This window comes from Homo sapiens, chromosome 3 (genome assembly GCF_000001405.40).
Source record: "Homo sapiens chromosome 3, GRCh38.p14 Primary Assembly".
Taxonomy (NCBI): Eukaryota; Metazoa; Chordata; class Mammalia; order Primates; family Hominidae; genus Homo; species Homo sapiens.
Genome location: NC_000003.12, coordinates 17,056,570 through 17,078,783, shown reverse-complemented (window position 1 = coordinate 17,078,783; position 22,214 = coordinate 17,056,570). Strand labels below are relative to the sequence as shown.

At 38.8% G+C, this 22,214-nt stretch overlaps 1 protein-coding gene across 5 annotated transcripts in view; it reads right to left on the bottom strand.

Moving 5' to 3' along the window:
- The window catches only part of PLCL2 (phospholipase C like 2), a 205,652-nt gene that overhangs the window by 11,823 nt on the left and 171,615 nt on the right, over positions 1-22,214 (bottom strand). For all 5 annotated transcript variants that reach the window (NM_001144382.2, XM_047447799.1, XM_017006025.2 and 2 more), the window contains one exon: positions 10,719-10,828. In NM_001144382.2, the coding sequence (NP_001137854.1) occupies positions 10,719-10,828 (110 nt within the window). The remainder of the gene's footprint in view (positions 1-10,718; positions 10,829-22,214) is intronic.

Genomic DNA, 22,214 nt, shown 5'->3' with positions numbered 1-22,214 from the left:
TGGTAATTTCAAAAAGGAAACAAATGCCAGTCTTTAAGTCTTCAAGATAAGCACTGTACCTCAGGTAAAAATGAAGAAAATCAAGACAAATGTCTACCAGGTGCAAAAACCATCTGGTTTATTGATTTATGTTTTGGCAGAAGTTTTAGGTTCCTAAAGAGAATGAATCTCTAATTACTTTTAGGGTTTATTGATAGCCTTGTTTCTGATGGTAGAGGGGCACAGGTCAGGAGAGCTAGCCTGGCAGCCATTCATCTGGAAAACATCTTCGGTTGTAACAAGCTTAATTCAAGTCCAAGATACGATATAGATGCTATAAAAAAAAAAAGCCCAGCCATCCCAGCCACCCCAGATGAGATCCAGCCATGTGAGTACCTTCTTCGATGTTCCAGGCCAAGCTGAGTTCCCAGCAGAACAAATCTCTTAAGTGATCCCAGCTAATATCACATGGAGCAGCAAAACCATCTGGCTGAGCCCAGCTAACCCAAGAATCACGAGAAATGAGAAGTCATTGTTTCAAGCCACTAGTTTTGCAGTGGTTTGTTATACAGCAATAGATAACCGAAACAGCCACTAAAGGGAGCCATATTTTGTGCTGACAATACCTTCCTGGACAAAGTGGATTAAAGCAGGGGGAGAACCTGATCCAAGGACACTTAATACAAGAGGAGGTTTATCGGGACCACTGGTCTGCAGCTAAAAGGCTAGGCTGAGGCAGGAAATACAAATAGATTGAGTACTTGAAATAAATGCTTAGAGGATATGGTAAAGAACAGACCAAGGCCAGAACAAGTTATAAAGCAGTAGAAACTCTGAGTGAACAGAACGAGCCAGCCAGCAGAGGAAGCAGAATGGAGAAGAGGCAGAAAGATAAGCAGAAAGACCCCTGTTCCACAGAGAGGAGCAGCTACCTCGGGGGCTGCCAGGTTTCCGAACAGCTTGCTATTGTCATGAGGCTGGACTGCAGTTTCCGGTCTCCAAGTTCCCTGAGGTCCCTGTCCCTCTCATGATCCCTTGTGTGAGCCAGCATCTGTGGCGACTCCTCTGTGAGCTGGCCAGAGTGAGTTTCTACTCTTGGTAACCAAAACAGACCAATGAAAACAGGACTCTTCTAGTATGAGATTCTACCATTTTAGGAATGGCAATCAATTGACACAGTGAAAATTACCACCAGTACAGTGAATATTTTGGTAACTGGAAAATAAAGGTAGAGGAAGTCTTGATTAAGCTGGTGGATTGAAAATGCATTACAGAATTTCCATTCTACATTCCTGATGAAATGAGCAAAAACAAAGCCAAGCAAAAAGCCACAAACAGCAGCAAAACTAAAAAAAGGGTATAATCATTCTATGAACTAAAACTCACAGAAGTCATGTTGGCAAGTCATAAAAGTCCTGAAAGTTCTATCTCAAACACAACCAAACCAGAGAGATGCAAACGGAGTGAGCATTCTGTTTCATGGAGTAGCAGATGGGGCAGAGGGTGGGAAGAAAGAAATGACACAGGAAAAGTTGGAAGTGTGGCTGGCATACAATTAGAAAACCAGACAGAATGCAGAAAACAATGATTTTCAGATAGTACAACACAGTGATCCTGAGAGAAGAAATACAAACAACCGTGTCCAGCTTACTGCTTGCAGTTTCCAGATGCAGTGCAGGAAAGGGGAACTCAAACAGAGCCCAGCAGTCCCACTGGGGTGAGAAGACAGAGTGTGGAGTTCAGGGAGCCGACAGTGGCTAGAACATGAGGGGCCAAGAGTGGAGAGGAAGAGGCTGGAAAACGGCTATTGTGAATATATGACATGTCTTCAAGAAGGTAGAGGATATGACTAGCATGAACAGAAACATGACAAATTTGAAATTAAAAAACTGAATAGGATTAATGGCAGATTAGATATTACAGAAAACAGAAGTGTTGCTTGAAAATATAGCAATATTGCTCAAGGACATGGCAATAAAAATATCAAGAATTAAAAAAGAAAACAAAAAGGAAACGGCTGAGTGCGGTAATTCTTACACCTTGGGAGGCTGAAGTGGGAGGATTGTTTGAGGCCAGGAGTTTGAAACCAACCTGGGGAACATGGCAAAACCTAGTCTCTACAAAAAACGTACAAATTATCCAGGCATGGTAGCACGTGCCTGTGGTCCCAGCTACTCAGGAGGCTGAGATGAGAGGATCATTTCGGCCCAGAAGGTTGAGGCTGCAATGAGTAGTGTTCACGCCACTGCACTCCAGCCTGGGCAAGAGTGAGATCCTGTCTCAAAAAAATTTTTTTTTAAACCACAGAAAGTACTTAAAAACTAATGAATAAGCATCTGTGATTGTGGGATAATATCAAGCAGTATATTTATACATATAATTGGAGTTACAGAAGGAGATGGTAGAAAGGGTAAGACAGAAACAAATTTCAGGAAATAATCACCAAAAAGTTTCCAAATTTGTTAAAAACTACAAATTCACATATCTAAAAATCTCAACCAACCCCAAGCAGAAGAAACATAAAGAAAACCACATTAGAGTCAGTCAGATATTTTTTAAAACTCACGTACACACAAAGATGCTCAACCCCCATCCACTTACTGGAATGACAAAACTGATAATTCCAAGTGTTGACAAGGATGTGGTGCAACTAAAACCCTTGCAACACTGCTGGGGAAAGGCAAAATGGAACATCAGTTGTTTTTAAAGCACTGTGGCAGTTTCTTATCAGTCTCACACACATTTGCCATGTGACCCAGCAATCCCACTCATATTTACCCAAGAAGAATAAAAGCATGTCCATACAAAGACTGATATGTGAATGTTCATTGCAGGTTTATTTGTAATAGCTAAAAATTGGAAACAACACAAATGTCCATAAATTGGTGCAGGTATAAACAAAATGTGTTATATCCATAAAACAGAATACTATTTAGCAATAAAAAGGAATGGAGTACTGAAACCTACATTAACTTGTATGACTCAAAAGCACAATGCTACATGAAATAAGCCAGGCAGAAAAGACTGTATGCCATGTAATTCCATTTATATGACATTCTGGCACAGGTCAAACTATAGAGATAGAAATGAGATAAGTGGTTGCCAACATAAAGGATTTTACTACAAAGGGGCACAATGCAATTTGGGGGAGCAGGGTGACAACAATGCCCTACCATCATTGTGCTGGGGGTTGCATGACTCCAGACATACTTTATTTTATCACACTTCACAGATACTGCATTTTTTTTTTTTTTTTTTTACACATTGAAGGTTTGTGGCAACCTTGCGTCAAGCAAGTCTACAGTGTCATTTTTCCAACAGCATGTGTTCACTTTGTGTTTCTGTGTCACTCTTTGGTAATTCTTGCAATATTTCAAACTTTTTCACTATTATTATATTAGTTATTGTGATTTGTGATTGGTGGTCTTTGATGTTACTAATTATTTTGGGGCACCATAAAGTGTGCCCTTCCTTATAAGACAGCAAACTTAATTGGTAAATGTTGTGTGTGTTCTGACTGTTCCACTGGTCACTCTCCATCTCTGTCTCTTCAGGCCTCCCTAATGACATGCAAAGTTCCTGAGACATAACAATATGAAAATTAGGCCAAAAAATAACCTTACAAAGGCCTCCAAGTGTTCAAGTGAAAAGAAGAGTTGCACTTGAAATAAAAAACTAGAAATAATGAAGCTTACTGAGGAAGGCCAAGTTCAAGTCAAAAGCCAACATGAGCCAAAAGCTAGGTCTCTTGCACCAAACATTTATCCAAGTTGTTAATGCAAAGGAAAAGTTTGTGAAGGAAATTTAAAGTGCTATTCTACTGAACTCATGAATGATAAGAAAGCAAAACTGCCTTATTGCTGATATGGAGAAAGTTTGAGTGGTCTCAATAGGAGATCAAACCAGCCACAATGTTCTCTTAAGCCAAAGCCTAATCCAGAGCAAGGCCCTAACTCTCTTCAATTCTATGAAGTCTAAGAGAGGTAAGAAAGTTGCAGAAGACAAGCTGGAGGCTAGCAGTGGTTGGGTCATAGGTTTAAGGAAATAAGCCATCTCCACCACATCAAAGTGCAATGCGAAGCAGCAAGTGCTGATGTAGAAGGTGCAGTGAGTTACCCAGAAGATTTAGCCAAGATCATTGATGAAGGTGGCTATACTAAACAACAGATTTTCAATGTAGATGAAACAGCCTTCTATTGAAAGAAGATGCCATCTAGGGCTTTCATGGCTCAAAAGGAGAAGTCAATGCTTGGCTTCAAGGGTTCAAAGGACAGTTTGATATTCTTGTTAGGGAATAATGCAGCTGGTGGCTGTAAGTAGCAGCCGATGCTAATTGGCCATTCTGAAAATCCTAGGGCCCTTAAGTATTATGCTAAATTTACTCTGCCCGTGCTCTATAAATGGATCAATAAAGCCTAGATGAGAACATACGTGTTTACAGCATGGTTTCCTGAATATTTTAAGCCCACAGCTGGGACCTACTGCTCAGTAAAAAAGATTCCTTTCACAATATTACTGCATATCAACAATGTACCTGGTCATCCAAGCACTCTGATAGGGATGCACAAGGAGATTAATATTGCTTTCATGCCTGCTAATACAATATCCATTCTGCAGCCCATGGATCAAAGAGTAATTTTGACTTTCAAGTTTTATTATTTAAGAAATACATTTCATAAGGCTATAGCTGCCATAGATAGTGATTCCTCTGATGAATCGGGGTAAAGTAAATTGAAGACCTTCTGGAAAGGATTCACCATTCTAAGACGCCATTAATAACATTCATGATTCATGGGAGAGGTCAGAATGTCAACATTAACAGGAGTCTGGAAGAAGCTGATTTTGGAGGAAGTTGATCCCAGCCCTCATGGTTGACTTGGATGGGTTCATGACGACAGTGGGGAAAGTAAATGCAGATGGAATGAAAATAACTAGAGAACTAGAATTAGAAATAGAGCCTGAAGAGGTGACTAAATTGCTGCAATCTCATCATAAAACTGTAATGCATGAGGAGTTGCTTCTTATGAATGAGCAAAGAAAGTGGTTTCTTGAGATGGAATCTCCTCCTGGTGAAGATGCTGTGAACATTGCTGTAATTACAGCAAAGGAGTTAGAATATTACATACACTTAATTGATAAAGGAATGGCGGGGTTTGAGAAGACTGATTTTCAAAGAAGTTCTACTGTGGGTAAAATGCTACTGAACAGCATTGCACGCTACAGAGAAATCTGTGGTGAAACAAAGAGTCCATCAGTGTAGCAAGCTCCACTGTCTTATTTTAAGAAATTGCCACAAGCCACCCCAGCCTTCAGCAACCACCACCCTCATCAGTCATCACCCATTAACATGGAGGTGAGACCCTCCACCAGCAAAAGGATTACAACTAACTGAGGGCTTAGATGATTATTAGCATTTTTTAGCAATAAAGCATTTTTAAATTAAGCTATGTACATTGATTTTTAGACATAAAAGCTACTGCACACTTAATAGACTACATTATAGTGTAAATATAACTTTTATATATACTGGGAAACCAAAAAAATCATGTGACTCACTTTATTGTGATATTTGCTTTATTGCCATGGTCTGGAACTGATCAAGCAGTCTCCAAGGTACGCCTGTACATACACTTGTCAAAACTCATAGGATTTTGTGCTCAAAATTGGTGAATTTTATTTTACAAACATTATGTCTCAAAGTTGACACACAAAAAATGATGCTGACTATCTAATGGAGGGAGGTTTCAAAGTTGGCTTCTAAATCAAAGAAGCAATGGGAGGCCTGTGGGAATGGATTACACCCTCTCCCTAGTTTGCAGCAGAAACCCTAGAACAGGACATTTTACAAACTCTGAGAAGAGAAGGCTGGGTCCAATATCTTAAGAAGCCTGGCAAAGACACCCGCTGGCTTTATCTCTTTTCCCTGCTATTCCTGTAGGTTGCAGGAAAGCATGGGTGACTTCCCAGACTGATGGTGACAGTGAACCAATTTAAATACTGAACTTCAAGTGACATGGCAATTATAGTTTCAAGACCAAATATGAATACTTTTAACATGGACAATAAAAAAATAACAATATGATCTATCTAGTAATATTAGAGAATGCTCATATTGTCTTTTTTTTTTTTTTTTTCTTTGAGACAGTCTCGCTCTGTCACCCAGGCTGGAGTGCAGTGGCATGATCTTGGCTCACTGCAACCTCCGCCTCCTGGGTTCAAGCGATTCTCCTGCCTCAGCCTCCCAAGTAGCTGGGATTACAAGCACCCGCCACCATGCCCAACTAATTTTTGTATTTTCAGTAGAGACGGGGTTTCGTCATGTTGGCCAGGCTGGTCTTGAACTCCTGACCTCAGGTGATCCATGCAGCTCGGCCTCCCAAAGTGCTGGGATTACAGGTGTGAGCTACCATGCCCGGCCCATATTGTCATCTTTCATAGCAGGACAACCAACAATACTTATAACTAAAACATGTAGCTTTAAAAATACCCAGCAAAATGACTTCTATTAACATTTCTCATAATCCCTTTTCTTAACCTCAAAGGGATCTTTTGGGAAATGGAAATAAATCTTTGTTATGGTAGAAATTGCTCACCAATTCATTTAGCATCTTTATGGTTAAATAAAATGAAATTTAGTACTTAAAAATTTTTAAAGAACAATTATATTAGAATTCTATCAGTCAGGCGTGATGGCTCACACCTGTAATCCCAGCACTTTGGAAGGCTGAGGTGGGCAGATTACCTGAGGTCAGGAGTTCGAAACTAGCCTGGCCAAGATAGTGAAACCCTGTCTCTACTAAACATACAAAAATTAGCTGGGCATGGTGGCACATGCATATAGTCCCAGCTATTTGGGAGGCTGAGGCAGGAGAATCACTTGAACCCAGGAGGCAGAGGTTGCAGTGAGCCGAGATTGTGCCACTGGACTCCAGCCTGGGTGACAGAGTGAGACTCCATCTCAAAAAAGAAAAAAAAAAAAGAATTATGTCTGCTGACATAACTTATTTTATAATATCTGAGACATTAGTGCTTGTGAGATGTGCCAGTATTTTATGTAGCACTAAGAAATAAAAATCATTGCCAATTTAACCAGGATATAATGCAAAGATGCCATGGACTATAAGATATATGCTAATTTCAAACATACCGAAAGTGTGAAAAAAAGTATGACTTAGAATCATTAAAATATATACTGATCCATCCAGACATATTCATATAGAAAGGTTCCTGGAATAAAGTCACCTACGTCTAATAATGGTTATTTCTCAGAGGGAGAATCTTGGGTCACTTAAAAACATTTTTCTATTTTAAAAAAGATAGATTTATAACAACAAATGAATGCTTTTTTATTCAAGAAAAAAAATGACTGGAAGTAAGTATGCCAAGATGTTAATAGTAGATAATTCTGGGTGTGGCAGTTATAGATGACTTTATTTCTTCTTTGTTCATTTCTGAATTTTAAAAGAACCTTCAAAATAAAAAAAAACTAAACTAGGCAAGTAAAGATTCATAAAAACTGGGACAGACATCCTTCAATGAAACGACACTTTTAGTGGCAGGAACTCCTCTCAGGGTGATCAATGGTCCCAGTTTGCCCAGATTGTCCTGGTTTTAGCACTGAATGTCTTGCTTCTAGGATGGCTGGCCACCCTACCTCCTTATGGTTCAAATGACTATGGTGATGCATCAGGAAAGCTTTTGATTCTAGGACAACAATAATAAGGTTTTTTTGTGTGTGCCTCAGAATCCCCCAAGAAACTTGTTAAATAAGCAGATTCCTGGGTTCCAAGCCTGGAGATTCTGGTCTGGGAAGTCTGGGATGAGGCTTAGGAGAGGGCATGTTTAAGCATCCCAGGTAATTCTCAAGCCTTGGACTGTTTCAGAGCTCCTTCAGCAGTCTTCCTGGCTTCCTCCTTCATTTCCTCTTCTCTGCATTTCCGGGGTCATCTGAAACCCTCCCTAAGCATTTGTGCTACTGGGAGCCTCCTGCTGTGTGTTTACTGCTGGCCATCTGCCTGGAGCGCTGCCACCTCTCCTAGCTCACTGCAAACAAAAAGTAATGGGAGGAACTCGACAGATCCCATGCCCTCCCGCCAGGAAAATACTGGTAGCTCAACTTAGACCTAAATTCACGTTCAAGATTCCCTGTCAGCACTCATTCTAAAGAAAGTTTAAACCAGTGACATACAGGAATGAAAAAAAAACCCCATTCTACAGAAATGACACACAGATCTTTCCAATTCTTCCTCATGCCTCACTTACATTCTACCATCCTTAAACACCATCTGTAGCAAATATTATCCTGGAAATTAAAAAAAGACCTATTACCCCATCCTATACATTTACTTCCATATGAACATAAGTCTGAGGTGTTAATTCTCTCTCCTGGACACAATTCAAAAGAAAGTAGGTTTCTTCAGTGTATCTATTTGGTCCAATTACTTCTAAAATATGGCACACTGCTTTATGTCAGCTGTTTTTCATTAATATGTGCATCAGGCTCCCATTTTTGGTGGCTCTCAGCCCAGTGCTTCTCAAACTTTAATGTGCCTAAGAATCACCTGGGGATCTTGTAAAAATGCAGGTTCTGAATCAGCAGGACTAGGGTGGGACTTGAGATTCTGAATTTCTAACAAGTTCCCCTCTGAGGCCCAGGTTGCTGGTTCCCGGACCACACATGAGTAGGAAGGGTACTTGACAAGCCAAAGTTTGGTCCCTATGTCTATATTTGCCTCTAATAAAATTAAAGCAAAGTGAGCATTTGTTCCTACCACAGGGCTTAATCTGCTGTGATATATTTTCTTGAGTTTACAGGAAATTTATAGTGTACCCCCCACCTCTGACCAGGAGTGAGTCAGCAAATTGTAAAGCCAAATCCTTTTTCGTTGTAAATTCTTATGTTTGCTGTTTACTGATCTGCAAACAATCAGGGTTAAAGTATAAGCAAAATAGGTATATAAGAAAAGTACATATGTGAAAAGGGAAATGTCTGAAGAAGTCAAGAAAATGATCTTAATTATAAAAATAAGTAGACGTTTAACGTGAGAAAAATGCAAATGGCGACTAGCTTTGGAAGATACCTTTTATTACATCAAATCTGAAAATTATTGTCAGCTCCAAGGATGGAGCTTTTAACTTCAGGGGGAATGAGGAAATTTAAAAAGGCAGCTGTGATAATGTCTTTATGGTCTTGAATCTGTTGGGGCTCAGAAAACAATACCCCAAAAGATGACACTTTGACATGCTGAACTAAAGAAGCAGGCTCACGGTTTCTCTGACCACCCCCACCACATATCTCTCAGTCCTCTCTCTCCCAAAGATGAGGCTGTTCAAGTACCCTGATCTAACTAGAAACTGGACCCACCAAAGAGAAGCACAAATGCCTCTGATCTCCTCTCTGAAATTTCATTAACCAGAGAAGACTAAAATTTACAGAAGAAGAGACTGAAAATTAAACACCACAACTACAGCACAGAAGAACTTCCTCCCAAACTAGTTTTCCTTCTCAGACCATTCAGTTCCCAAAGAGAATCATTTACTATCCCATTTCTGAGCACTGGGCCCATTCATTTCCCCTAAAATTCATTTACTACCCCTCAAAAATGGCCACATTTCCCCCATGTCCCTCCACTATGAAGAAGGGTTTGTATGCATCAAGACCACACTGGGTTGTTAGGTAATCATCCTCCTGCCATTCCCCATGCTTCTGCACCTTAAATAAATATAATATGTAGGCCTTTTTATGCCTGCTAATCTGTCAATTGTCAGGTCGTTTTCAAGGCAGCTTCAGCGGGTGAAAGGGAAGCCTTCCTTTCTTCCCTACAAATTCAGCTGAGCATAAAGTTTGGAAGGCAAACACCAGAGAGTAATTTTACATTTATTAATTGTCCAAGACCTGGAATGAAATAACCTCTGTGTTATTATTATTTATGCTCTGTGAGTAACACTGAGAAGAACTATTGAGGTAAAGCTCAAAAAAGTTTCGAGGTACATACACAGCATTATTTTAAAAATTATGTCACATTACATATAAAATAGAAAATCAGCCTGAGAGAATGCACAGCAAAAGGCCAACAGTAATTGTCTCTCGATGATGGGATTGTGTTTACCTTTGATTATTGCTCTTTTGACATTTTTGACAATGAAAATATATTATTTTTATAATAAAAAATAAAAAGTTAATTTTTAACAACTGTTATGCCAAAATAGATATGCATAGAGATAGCAGATAGCATTTCCCTTCAAGAAATATTTCTTTCAATAGCAATTCTTTTATGTATTTCCTTTGATTATGCTCCATACAATTCTTTTCTATTTATTTCTGGGATCATATGAACATTATAGCCATAATTACACTTTAAAGTGTTAAATGAAATTTGAGTAACTAGAATCTTTAAATTCCCAATCATTCCTCTGTAATCAATATTTTCTATTTTACATATAGCAACTGGCATTTATGAACTTTAAAATGTCTCAAGGATAAAATGACAAAAGTCCTTTGTCTATCAGGACTTACAATGTGCCAATCATAGAAGTTCCCCTGTTCTTCAACTGATCTACAATGTCAAACTGTTGTGCCTACAGACTCTAGAAGGGCAGAGTTCTTCATGTGATTTCTGCATCCATTCTACAATCTCAGTGGCTGACCATGTACAATGCAGGAAATGTTATACTAAGAGAGGGAAGCATGCTGAAAGAGGCTGCAAAATCACCAGCATCAGAAACAACTCTATAGATACCTTTAAGATGGTAATATTCCAGGTAAAGCTCTCCACTGCTTTTTGTAGTTTTCTTTCCTTCAAACCTTCCTTGGTGCCTATGCTGTGCAAGTGTTCATGGAATTCCATGGCTGAAAGAAATAAAAAAGACAAAGTATATTAACTCCCATCCAATCTGTGGTAATGAACTGGAAATATTTCTTTTTCTAGGTACAGCTAAAATGATTCCAACCTCCAGTGGAATTTCATAAATGTGTCCATTTAAGAATGTAATAATGGGGACAAAACACTGAAAAATTATGGCAGCAACAAGGCAGAAGGCATCTTCGAAGTCAGCAATTGTTCCTCATTGTTCTGAAGGGAAACAGGGCACCTATGATCATTGTTATTCTTATTTTAGAGAAGGGAAGCTCAGCAAGCTTCAGAGATGGGAAGCTGCCAAGGGAGCAGAAAGAAGGGCTGGGACCAGCATCTGGACTTGGACTCTCAGAAGGCAGATTTAAGCTCCACTGAGGACACAGTGGAGACGAGGGATAGAAAGAACGCAAAGTAATGTATTTTCTGTCACAGAAAGGGTCAATCTGAGGTCAGAGACCAAGCCCACAGTACAAGGATGGGAGTGGAGAAAGACCCTGAACTCTAACTCTGCATTTATTCTACACCAGAATTTATATAATAAATAAATAATCCCTACTGCTGTTCAAAACAATTTCTGCAAGATCTGTAGATCCTCTAATTCAAATTTAGTTTACAGGGTTTTCACATAAATTTAAAAATTTTATGCTTTTTTTTCCATTAGGTGGAAAATCTTAATTCCTAATCACACCAATATAACTCTAATAGTAAGACCGCTGAATCCAATTTAAACATTCTTAGCATTTTTTTGTCCTTAAGAGTATATGTAATTGAGAATGTTCAGTGAAAAATATGATGTTCTAGGGTCAGCTGGAATAATTCTTTTCTCTCTGTGGTTATGCTACTCACAATGTACAATTAGGTCATGTGTTTCTTTTTTCTCATTTTACATGTATGTGGTGGAGGGAAGTGCTTTTTTTGGATGTAATTTGTTTTATGGATTATATCAAAACGTTACATAATTCCAAAATTAAACTACATATCAAGGTGAATTCAGATAAGTCTTGCCTCCTTTATGGTCTTCTCTACCTTGATCCTTCTTCCCCTTATATGTTATTAGTTTTTTATTGTATTGTTTCTCTTTGCAAATATAATCAAATGTGTACATATTATTAATAATCTTCCTTTCTTACATGAAAGTAGCATACTATGTACAGTGTCCTGCATGTTGGTTGTTTTCTTTCTTTTTCTCACACAATTGCATAGTGGAGTTCACTCCATGTCAGTGTATAGAGCTCTTCCTCACTCTTTTCTGTGACAGCTACAGAGACTCCAATGTGTAGATGAACTAGCATTTATTTAACCAGTCCCCTACTGAAGGACGTTGCATTGTTTAAAAACTTTTGCTATTACATATAATTTAGAACTGTTGTAAATTTTACAAGACATTTTGTACATTCTTTTGCACACTTTTACTCTTCAGTTGGGCATTCCAACTTCTAATTCCCTTTCTATGCAACACCATTTCGAAGCAACTCTTTACATGGTGATTGACAACAACTTTATTCCTTAGTGTCTTTAAATATCAAGCAAAAGCTGACACACATATGATAAACACAATAAATGGCCAATTTAGGCTTTTTACTTCTGTGTTTCTTTTTCCTACCTAACCAGGAGCCATGGTCCTACTTCCTGTTATGCTAATAAGGTATGGGAACCTCACTGGTTTTGGGAAAGAACAGTAACTAGTAAGATTCATTCCACTCTCCAGGGAACTAACGCATGGACCACTCCCCTTTTCTCCAACTTTTCTTTTACTGATGATGGTACCTGAGAACATCCCAACTTGGTTAACCGAATAAGCCCCTTCCACCCCAATGCCACACACACACTTTCCCCACTCTTCACATCCGGGAGACTCCCTGGAGTGTGCTGCATGACTCAGATCCACCCGTTGGGTTCCTAATGATAAGACTGATGTGCTTGGCTTTTCTAAGTTTTAATACTGGACTTCAGCAAGAGTTCTGGATTTCCAAACAGGAATAATTAATACTCATTATGTTTCTGGCAGTCAGGAGGTACCATATTCTCATAAGTATCACTGAGGCTTGCAGAATGGAATCCATGACTGGAATTGTAGGAAAGGGAAGAGACACAAGAGTGGGAGGGAGGGGGTAGCTCTCTACAAACAAGAAATATGACTCCATGGACTGCAAGATGAACAGGAAAAGAAACTGGGAGGAAAAATGCAAGTGATGTTAACTAACGCAGGACCACATATTACAACTGCTTGACTGGATGTGGGCTCTTCGCAATGATTTTTTATGGCATTTCAAAACTGGCACAAGGTGGAACAATAATAGTGGGGGATTTTTCTAACATCAAGGTATCCGCATGGAAGCCTCATTCTGCTAGGGGCAGACTGTTTATGGTGCCTTGCTGAACACTTGATCACCTGTAAGGTAATGAGGCAATGACAGGAACTGGTATACTGGGCTTAATTCCAACTCACATAATGTAAGTATGGAACAGCAGAAGAAGGGAATGCTGAGCTTAGACAAACAGCTACTCTAGGTCTTAAGAAAACAGCTTTCAGAAACTTCAGAAAGTATGAGTCTAGGGCCAGAGGCTGTTACAGAACAGGCTGCCTTGAGAAGGATTGGGGACTTGAAGATGCAACAGAGTTGAAAGGATAAAAAATGATATAGATAAGGAAGAAATGGGGAAACATTTAAAGAAACAAGTGTAGCTGCATACATGGCTGCTATCTAAAAAGCTCATATTTTACAAGTCTATTAAAAAAATGAGACAAGACCACTCCCCCTTATCTTACTCCTCTTAAAATACCTCTAGCCCAATAAAAGTTCACAGGGACATGCAAAATGTTTTATTAGTGAAGCTCTTTTTAAAAACAGGCAAAAAGGTGACAAATTGAACACTGGAAATACTAAGTTAAAAATAAAAAACTCAGAATCCAAAAAAGTGACTGAGACTATCAATCCCATTGTCATTTATTTAATTATTTGATTTGCTGCATAACACATCTGTTTCTTTTAAACATGTCTTTTTTTTTTTTTTTTTTTGAGACAGAGTCTCACTCTGCTGCCCAGGTGAGGGTGCAGTGGTGTGATCTCGGCTCACTGCAACCTCTGCCTCCTGGGTTCAAGCAATTCTCCTGCCTCAGCCTCCCAAGTAGCTGGGATTACAGGCACGTGCCACCACACGTGGCTAATTTTTGTATTTTTAGTACAGATGGGGTTTCACCATGTTGGTCAGGCTGGTCATTTAAACATTTCTGTGTTATTAACTTAGAAATGACTGATCCAACAGAAATGACAAAATCCACCACAGTGGATTTTGCTAATCAACTAATTTGAAGCATATATTGATTGTATTTTTTTAAGAAAAGGGTTCTCACCTTGACTTTTCACTGTCTCCCTGTGACATGCGAGCGCCAGGGCAAGGACGAAAGATACGCAACCAAGGGAATCACAAGGCAACTTACCAGGCACTTCACATACGCTATATAAGAAATGCAGACAGAGGCTACAGCACTTTCCTAAGGAAGTGGTGAAGAAGGATTTTAATCTTGGTTTGTCTGATATAATCATATGTGTAAAATAATTATTCTGTGGGCAGAACATTGTAAGGGCTATTGCATAGGTACCAGTTATAAGGGAAGCAAGAGAGAGAGAGAGAATGAGATTATACATTTGAACTGGATCAGTCTGTCTATATAAAACAAAATAAATCCATTAAGATATCTAAGATGCAAATTGCATTGTTCTCTTGGAACTAAATTACTAGGAAATCTACTCCTAGCATGTCACAGGAGGTCTTCACAGTTCTTTACAACAACAGTGGTGTATAAAGAACTTTTCTGGGTGAGAAGTTAAGTAACCACCTCATTTTTCAAATTATTTTCAGCAAAGAAACATTAGCCCAACGAAAAAGTCCTTCTCTTACTAAAAAGCTGAAGAGTAGCATCTCTTCTCCTTCTGTAAGTCATACTATTCTGTCTAAAGACTAGATAGAGTGAATTTTAAAGTAGCTGGCGAAAATCAGGTAAGAAGTAAAAAGCTTAAGACTAAGTCACACTCCCTCTCCACTCCCTCAAGAAGTCAAGTTGGTTTTGTTTTAAAACTCCTTGCACTTTAATTACAGGAAGAGAAGAGATGTGAGACTCCCACTATGGGGATGCGAAAGGAGCATGACCCAGTGTTGGGAAGAGCTGTGGGTGGGCAAGCAGCTGTGTGAACCTGTGACTGCAGTTGAACAGGCAAAAGTGGAGACTGTTACAGTAATCCAGATAATTTAAAGAGCATGTGAGGAGGGTCTGGGGGAACTTGTCAGAGAATGGTGGGGACAGGCAGCACAGAGAAGTCACGTGGAGACTAGATAGTGCATCTCAAACCTCAACGAGTAACAGAATCACTGGAGGTGTGTGTTTAAAGTGCAGGCTCCTGTGTCTCCCTGGAGGTTCTGATTTAGGAGGTCTGTGGTGGGCCCAGCCACAGACATTTTCAGATTTGCATGCAAGAGGACTTGGGATCATTTTGAAGAAAATCCGATTAGGAAGATGGGGAGATGGGACTGAGAGATGCGAAGTCCATGTTCAGTAGGCATTAGAGGGTCATTATTAGAGGGGTATATCAGAAAATCTAAGAACTGTAAGACTGTCTATCCTAAAAAAAAAGAAGGAAGGAGGGAATGAAGAAGAAGAAAGGAATGAAGGGAGGAAGGGAGGAAGGGAGGAAGGGAGGAAGGCAGGGAGGGAGGGAGGGAGGAAGGAAGAGAAAGAGACACAAGTGTTTTTTGTTGATGAATTATAGGTAAGAAAAACCTACATATTTAATAAAAATAATTGGAATTTTATTGATCCTGAGAAAGTTTCTCTTGTGATGATCATCTGCATATTTAGAAGGTCATATTTAGAAATTTTTAAATTGTGGATTTAAGCCAAAAGAGTCCTAATATTCTTACAGAGTGTGGCTCTTAGCTTATGTGGCCAGAGCATTGCCTGCTGGACCTATGGAAAGCCACCAGGCAGACACTGGGGAGAATAAACAGGAAGGCAGATTCAGGACGGTGTCAAGGTTGCTGCTGCCGCCGCTGCTTAGGGATAGTGACAAGAATTCCCACTGTGAAAACAATCTTCAGGTTCAGAAATAGAAACCAGGCCAATAATAATGAGGGAATAAGAACTGGGATTTTTTTTCTTTCAAAAACAAGTTCCATTCCCTGCATGTTTCCAATATCTTCCAAACACTATACCAACACATTTGTATCCTAAATTTGTATATTTTAGAGCCAAGTATAGTTGTTCACATTATCTTGAAGTTAATTGTTTAACAAAATAATTGTATTTTTTCTATTAGCCAATGTCCCATATACCAGTCTAATTTAAACTAAATGGCACTATAAAAGTCTCAAATAAAGTATGGCTTCATCCATCTTTTCTTTAAAGGTGAAACGTAACACTTTGGGGCAGCTATTAAAGACAGAGGGGGAGGAACTAGGATTCCTTGATTCTACAACCATGTTGCCACCCAAGTAAGACAAGAGGTAACAGTTAATTCTAGCCAAAGAAATGGAAAAAACTTCATTTGAAAACCAAAACTAAGTAGGTAAACAGTCCTTTGGAAGTGTGACACAATTGCTATGTGCTATATATTTCGCAGTCAGAATATACAGTGTGTTTAAAGACATCAAAGTTTGAAGGCTGTGAGCATATTACATGAATCCAATAAAACATGCAGGAATACCAATTAATGCTTAGGGGTAAATTATGTTCAGAGATCAGCAAATGACCTGATCAGAGATTATGTTCAGAGATCAGCAAAAGACCTGGCTGGCCTGGTGTGGCTGCTCTTTCAACAAAATGATTGTCTTTGAGCCTCAGTTGCTCTGTTCCAAAGAACCAACCATTAGGTTCCTTTGACTCCATGACCCCAAGTTTCTGTTCCTAGGGAAAAGCAGTGGGTTATTTTTCTTCTGGAATGTTAACCATGAGGAAACCTGCCGCAATTTCTTTGTGATAATGAACTTGAGAACTAAGGGTATAAATAGTAGGTCATCAAGCAGCAGAGAAAGGACACATGGAAAATCCTTAGGTGATGTCAATGAGAGTTTAATTCAGTTCTGGTCGAAAGGGAATGGAAGATATAGGCTGTGTGAACAAAGAACAGAATGAAGCCATCAGTTCATGGTGAGGACTGCCCAAATCATGTAACTTTTGCTTTATAGCTATAATGTTAAATTTTAAAAATTGGTATGGCCATACAAAATTACATTATTGAATTTTTATATAAAGAAACATATTTTAGAAATTTATTGCTTCTTTCATGTTATCTCTAAAATCTAAACAGCTAGGATTTTTTATATGTGTAGGTGTTGATTACACATAATTTTCCAATTATTATTTCAAAATACTTTATAATTTAAATATTTTAAATAGTTTTTTCCTGAAGGGCTTAAAAGCTTAATGACAAAAAATGAATTATAATGTTGATAAAATGTCAGGTTTTATAAAAATTAATAAATGGGTGCAAAAATTTCAAGATGGCATAATTAAATTAACTCAGAACATTTAGTACAACTGCATACAACTATACTGGGATATAGTGAAGAGAAATTTCCACTTCTATCAAGTTTTCTGCTTCCCATCAGAGATAACAAACTTAGATGAAAACCAAACAGCCCTAAAAATAAAAATAGGATATATACAATAAAAAGATATCAAAAAGAGGCTTTTGCTTTGAAAGGAAGTGAGGGCCAAGTCAGAAACATGGCATCATCTCCTTTTTCGATGAAATGAATGCCATTTATTCTTGCCAAACGTAAAGCAGACGACCTTTCAAACATTCTGGTTGGGATTTTCTCTACCAATCTAAATGATATGAAAATAAAATATAGCATGTAGCACATGGCTAAAATTTTAGAAGCAAATATAGTTTTAAAAATTCTTCATAAGGAGACATATTGATCTTAAATGGATACACTTAAAGATTAGTTTTTCAACTGAAAATTTACTTTGCTGTCCCAAAAAGCTCTTTTCTCACAAACACAACCAGTATAAAAATTTTTGTGTATAGATTAAAAAACAAATTAAAAGCAAAAGCTAAAATCTTTTAAATGGTGACAAAATATATATTTATATTTTTAATTTATTTCCAATTCCCCAAATTAGGTGTAGTGATATATTTCCTGAAAGATGGAATACCATATAACACAGGTGCGTTTGGGACCTCATTCAAGAGGTAGCTATATCAACAGTATTAAAAGTACCTTAACATAACATGGTCTGTACATGACTTATGGTATGATATCACACTACTTAGAGAACAAAATATGGATAGCTGATAATTTTATAAGAATATGTATAATTTATATATAGTACCTGTTTAAATGTACAGCCTTTGTAAACTATATGCTCTGCCTCAAAACTCCGGAGGTCTGAAGTTTGGGTGTGCGGCCTACCTGTGGGTGTTTACATCCTAATCCTTGTGGAGATGTGGAAATGCCTAATTGCTTTTCAGATAGTTCCAGTTGGTAGCCTCCTTTTCTTGGCCTTCATCCCAAACAATCTGGGCATTAACAAAAGCCAAATTATTTTAAGATGGATTTTGAACTGTTAAATCCCATTCCACATGAGATGGAAAAGATAAACCAGGTTTCTTAAATATATGCCTGAAACCCAGATGGATGACAAGATCCTTGCAATGCCAAATCCACAGCAGTACAATTTGTGAATGAATTATATGAGGGAGGTTTTCTTCTTCTGCCAGCACTTTCCATCTGGGTAGATCTAGGTGAGATGAAGTTGCATAACTTTCAGCCCTTTGTGGAATCTAATTACCATGCCACCATTCTAAACACACAACCACGTGACTCACCTGGGTGGGATAATACGAAGAATAATGCGCTTAGCAAGACCCTCCTCACTTCATTTCACCGAGAAATAAAGAGGTCTTCTTCACCACAGTCATGCACAGAGGAGTTCTGTTAGACCCAGAACATTTTTGTTTGGATCGCCACTTTCACATCGATACTTTCCTGCTCTCCCACAGTTTGGCATGATTACCATAACATACAAGGCCCTCGTGACTGCAGACTGCAGCCTGTCCATGTTTCTCCTTCTTTTTGACACCTCTTCCGATTTTAATTTTCAACAGATAATGTAGTCATATGGTTCCACAATTTTAAAAGTATAAACTGAAATACAGGGAACTGTCTTTCCTTTCCCCATCTCCCAGCCTCCTTGTTTCCCTCCCCTTCTCAGGCAACCACTGTTATTCCTTCTTAGGTATCCTTCCAGAGAGATGCACACACAGCACAAACGGCATATTCTCCCTGCCTCTTTAAAGCAAATGTTAGCAAATAACACACATGGTTTCTCTTGCTTTTACAACTATCTATATCTATATATCTATATATGCATGTAAGATCTTTCTTATATATGTATATATATGTCTGGAGGCAAGTATATATATGTATATGTGTGTATATATACACACATATACACTCATATATACAGAAATACATATACACATATATATACACACACACACATATATATATACACACACACATACACACATACATACCTCTTTATTCTTTTTTTTTTTTTTTTTGAGACAGATTCTCGCTCTGTCACCTAGGCTGGAGTGCAGTGGTGCAATCTCGGCTCACTGCAACCTCTGCCTCCCAGGTTTGAGTGATTCTCATGCCTCAGCCTCCCTAGTAGCTTGGACTACAGGCACGTGCTGTCACAGTTGATTTTTGAATTCTTTATTCTTTATACAGTGGCATAATGTTCCATTATAAGGATGTATCATAATGTATGTCCCAGGGCCCTCCTGGTAAGCATTTAAGTTGTCCTCAATATTACAACAAAAACCTTTGCACATATGACTTTCCCTAAGTATTTGATCATATTTATAGAATAATCTCTGAAACAATGGAATTATTGGTTGGAAGTATATAGAATTTGAAATTCTGAAATTTACTGCCATACGGGCTTCCCTATATATGGACCCAATTTACATGCCCTCCCTCCCCCAAATCTGAGTTATCAGCTTCCCCGATATCCTTACCAATCCATTGTCATTTATATGTGATGGAATTCTGGGGTCTTTAATACAAACATCTGAAAAATGGTATCTCCTTGAAATACCTCATTCACTAGACTTCCAGAAGATCAGTGTTCTCCTCCCACCTCTCTGGCTGCCATACCTTAACCTTCTGTTTGTTCTTCTGCATCTTGCTGACATATAAACATTAGGGGCCAGCGATCCCTCTTCTATGTCTATGGTCATCTCTTATATGAGCTCAGTCTCCCAGCTTGAAAGATCACCTTTGCAATGATAGCTCCCAAATTTAATAATTCCAGTATTGATCTCTCCTCCAAACTTTAGACTTGGAGGTGAACTAGGCGTATCAAACTTAACTTGTCCAAAAACAAACCCCTGATCTTCCCTTTCAAGACCAGGCCTGCCCCAGTCTTCAGCATCTTGGTAAATAGCAGCTCCATCCTTCCAAGATGAAGCCAAAAACCATCTCTTTCTCTCCTCCTATGCCACATTCAATCCATCAATAAGTAGTTAGCACAACCTTCAGAATGTTTGTTTTTGCCATACGAAATTCTTTTACATGCAGTCTAACACCAAATTTGTTTGCTTAATATTATGTTAAAGCTTCTGGGATTATATTAGTTCCTGGCCTGCATCTCCACCTCATTTGCTGTTCCTGTTTTTCCCATGTGATATTCCATGTTGCTCACTGCTGCTGCTGGCCGGGGCTGTATTGCCCTGCATACACTCTTCTGTCTGTGTCCACTTGCCTTGGCTCTTAGACAAACCACCTTCTTGACTTAACTCCTGCCCTAAAGTCTGGTTCAACTATCCCCACAGACAGACCTCCCCACTCCTCCTCTGTGTGATCAGGGCTCTACGGCAGTGCGCACTCACTCCTGCACTTACAACCTAGGCTGCACTTACACTTATGAGTGGCTTAGATGCCTGTCTCCAATACTTGACCTGGAGCCCTCTTAGGGGAGGGTCCATATCCCGTTTTTCTGTGGAATCTCCAGCTCCTGGTCAGACGGAGAGTAAGAGCTCGTTTGTTGAACAAATAAATATGCGGCATTCTGTATTCAATTCAGCTCAACAGATATTTATTGAGTGCTGGCTTTGTACCAAACACTGTTCTTGGCATTTGGGAAACGTTATGAACAAACAAAGGTCCCTTGCCCTCAAGGAGTTTCCACTCTAGTAGGAGAAACACAGACAACAAGTGATGGGCATAAGTAAATTATATGGGGTGTTACAAGGAAACAATTATTACAGAGAACTCATCCACTCAAGCGGCCCTTCTATTTGGATGACAGCCAATTCTATCTGTAGGCCTCATCTCTATCTGAAGCTTCACTATAATTGTTTTGACAACTTACTAGCTATTTCCATTTGAGCATCCTACTGTGATCTCATATGTGTCAAACCTGAAACAGACCTTCACAACCAACTTCTTCCTAAACTAATACTTCAGGCATTCACATTCTTTTTCTGGGAGTAATATATGAACACGGAGGGCAGAGGAGACAGAACCAATCACTGAGTCCCCGAGTGAGTCCTAAACTATCTAGTGACCTCACTGCTTGTAACAGTTTCCCGAAGTCTTTAAGACACTGACAGATAGAACTTGAGACAAGGGCTTTATCACCAAATAAGTTTGAGAAATGCTGAGTTAAAAATGAAGGATATTTAGCATGCTAATGTGTACTGAGAATCTCCAAAGGGGATAAGTTGCATTATAAAAATTTGATGATGAAGTCCTTTGCCCGAGGAACATGACTAGTGTTGCATGAATTAGGCTTTAGTAAATGTTGGCTTAAAAAAAATCAATCCCAAATGTTTTAGACTTGAGTTAAAAGGCTTCCATAATTGGGCCCAGCCTGTATTTCCAACCTAATTTTTACTGTTTCCTGAAGCAAATATTTCCCTTCACCCAGGACAATATATTTCATGTGCACTGAAAGTACACCTTGATGATAAAGTCTGCTAAGCTTTGGCCCATCTAAAATGCCCTGTTCCTTCTGCTTAACTTATACAAATCCTGCATTCCCTCAAGCCCCTAGTTCAAGCTCCACCTCCTTTCCTAACAACAAAAGCCTCTGAGACTGCTCCTTTCTTCAAATTTCATTTATACCTGTTATCTATACCACTCACTTGGTTGTGTTTTACTGTAACTTTCCATGATGGTATAGACATTATTATCCTTTTTTTGCATCTCCAATAAGTAATTAGTATAATAACTTGTCATGAAACAAATTCCACAAATGCATGACTGTGTTTTTTCTTTAATATGTTAATATGTTATTGACACAGCACTGACCTATAATGAGAATACAGTGACCTATACTAAAAGAACATGGGTTAATTGAAG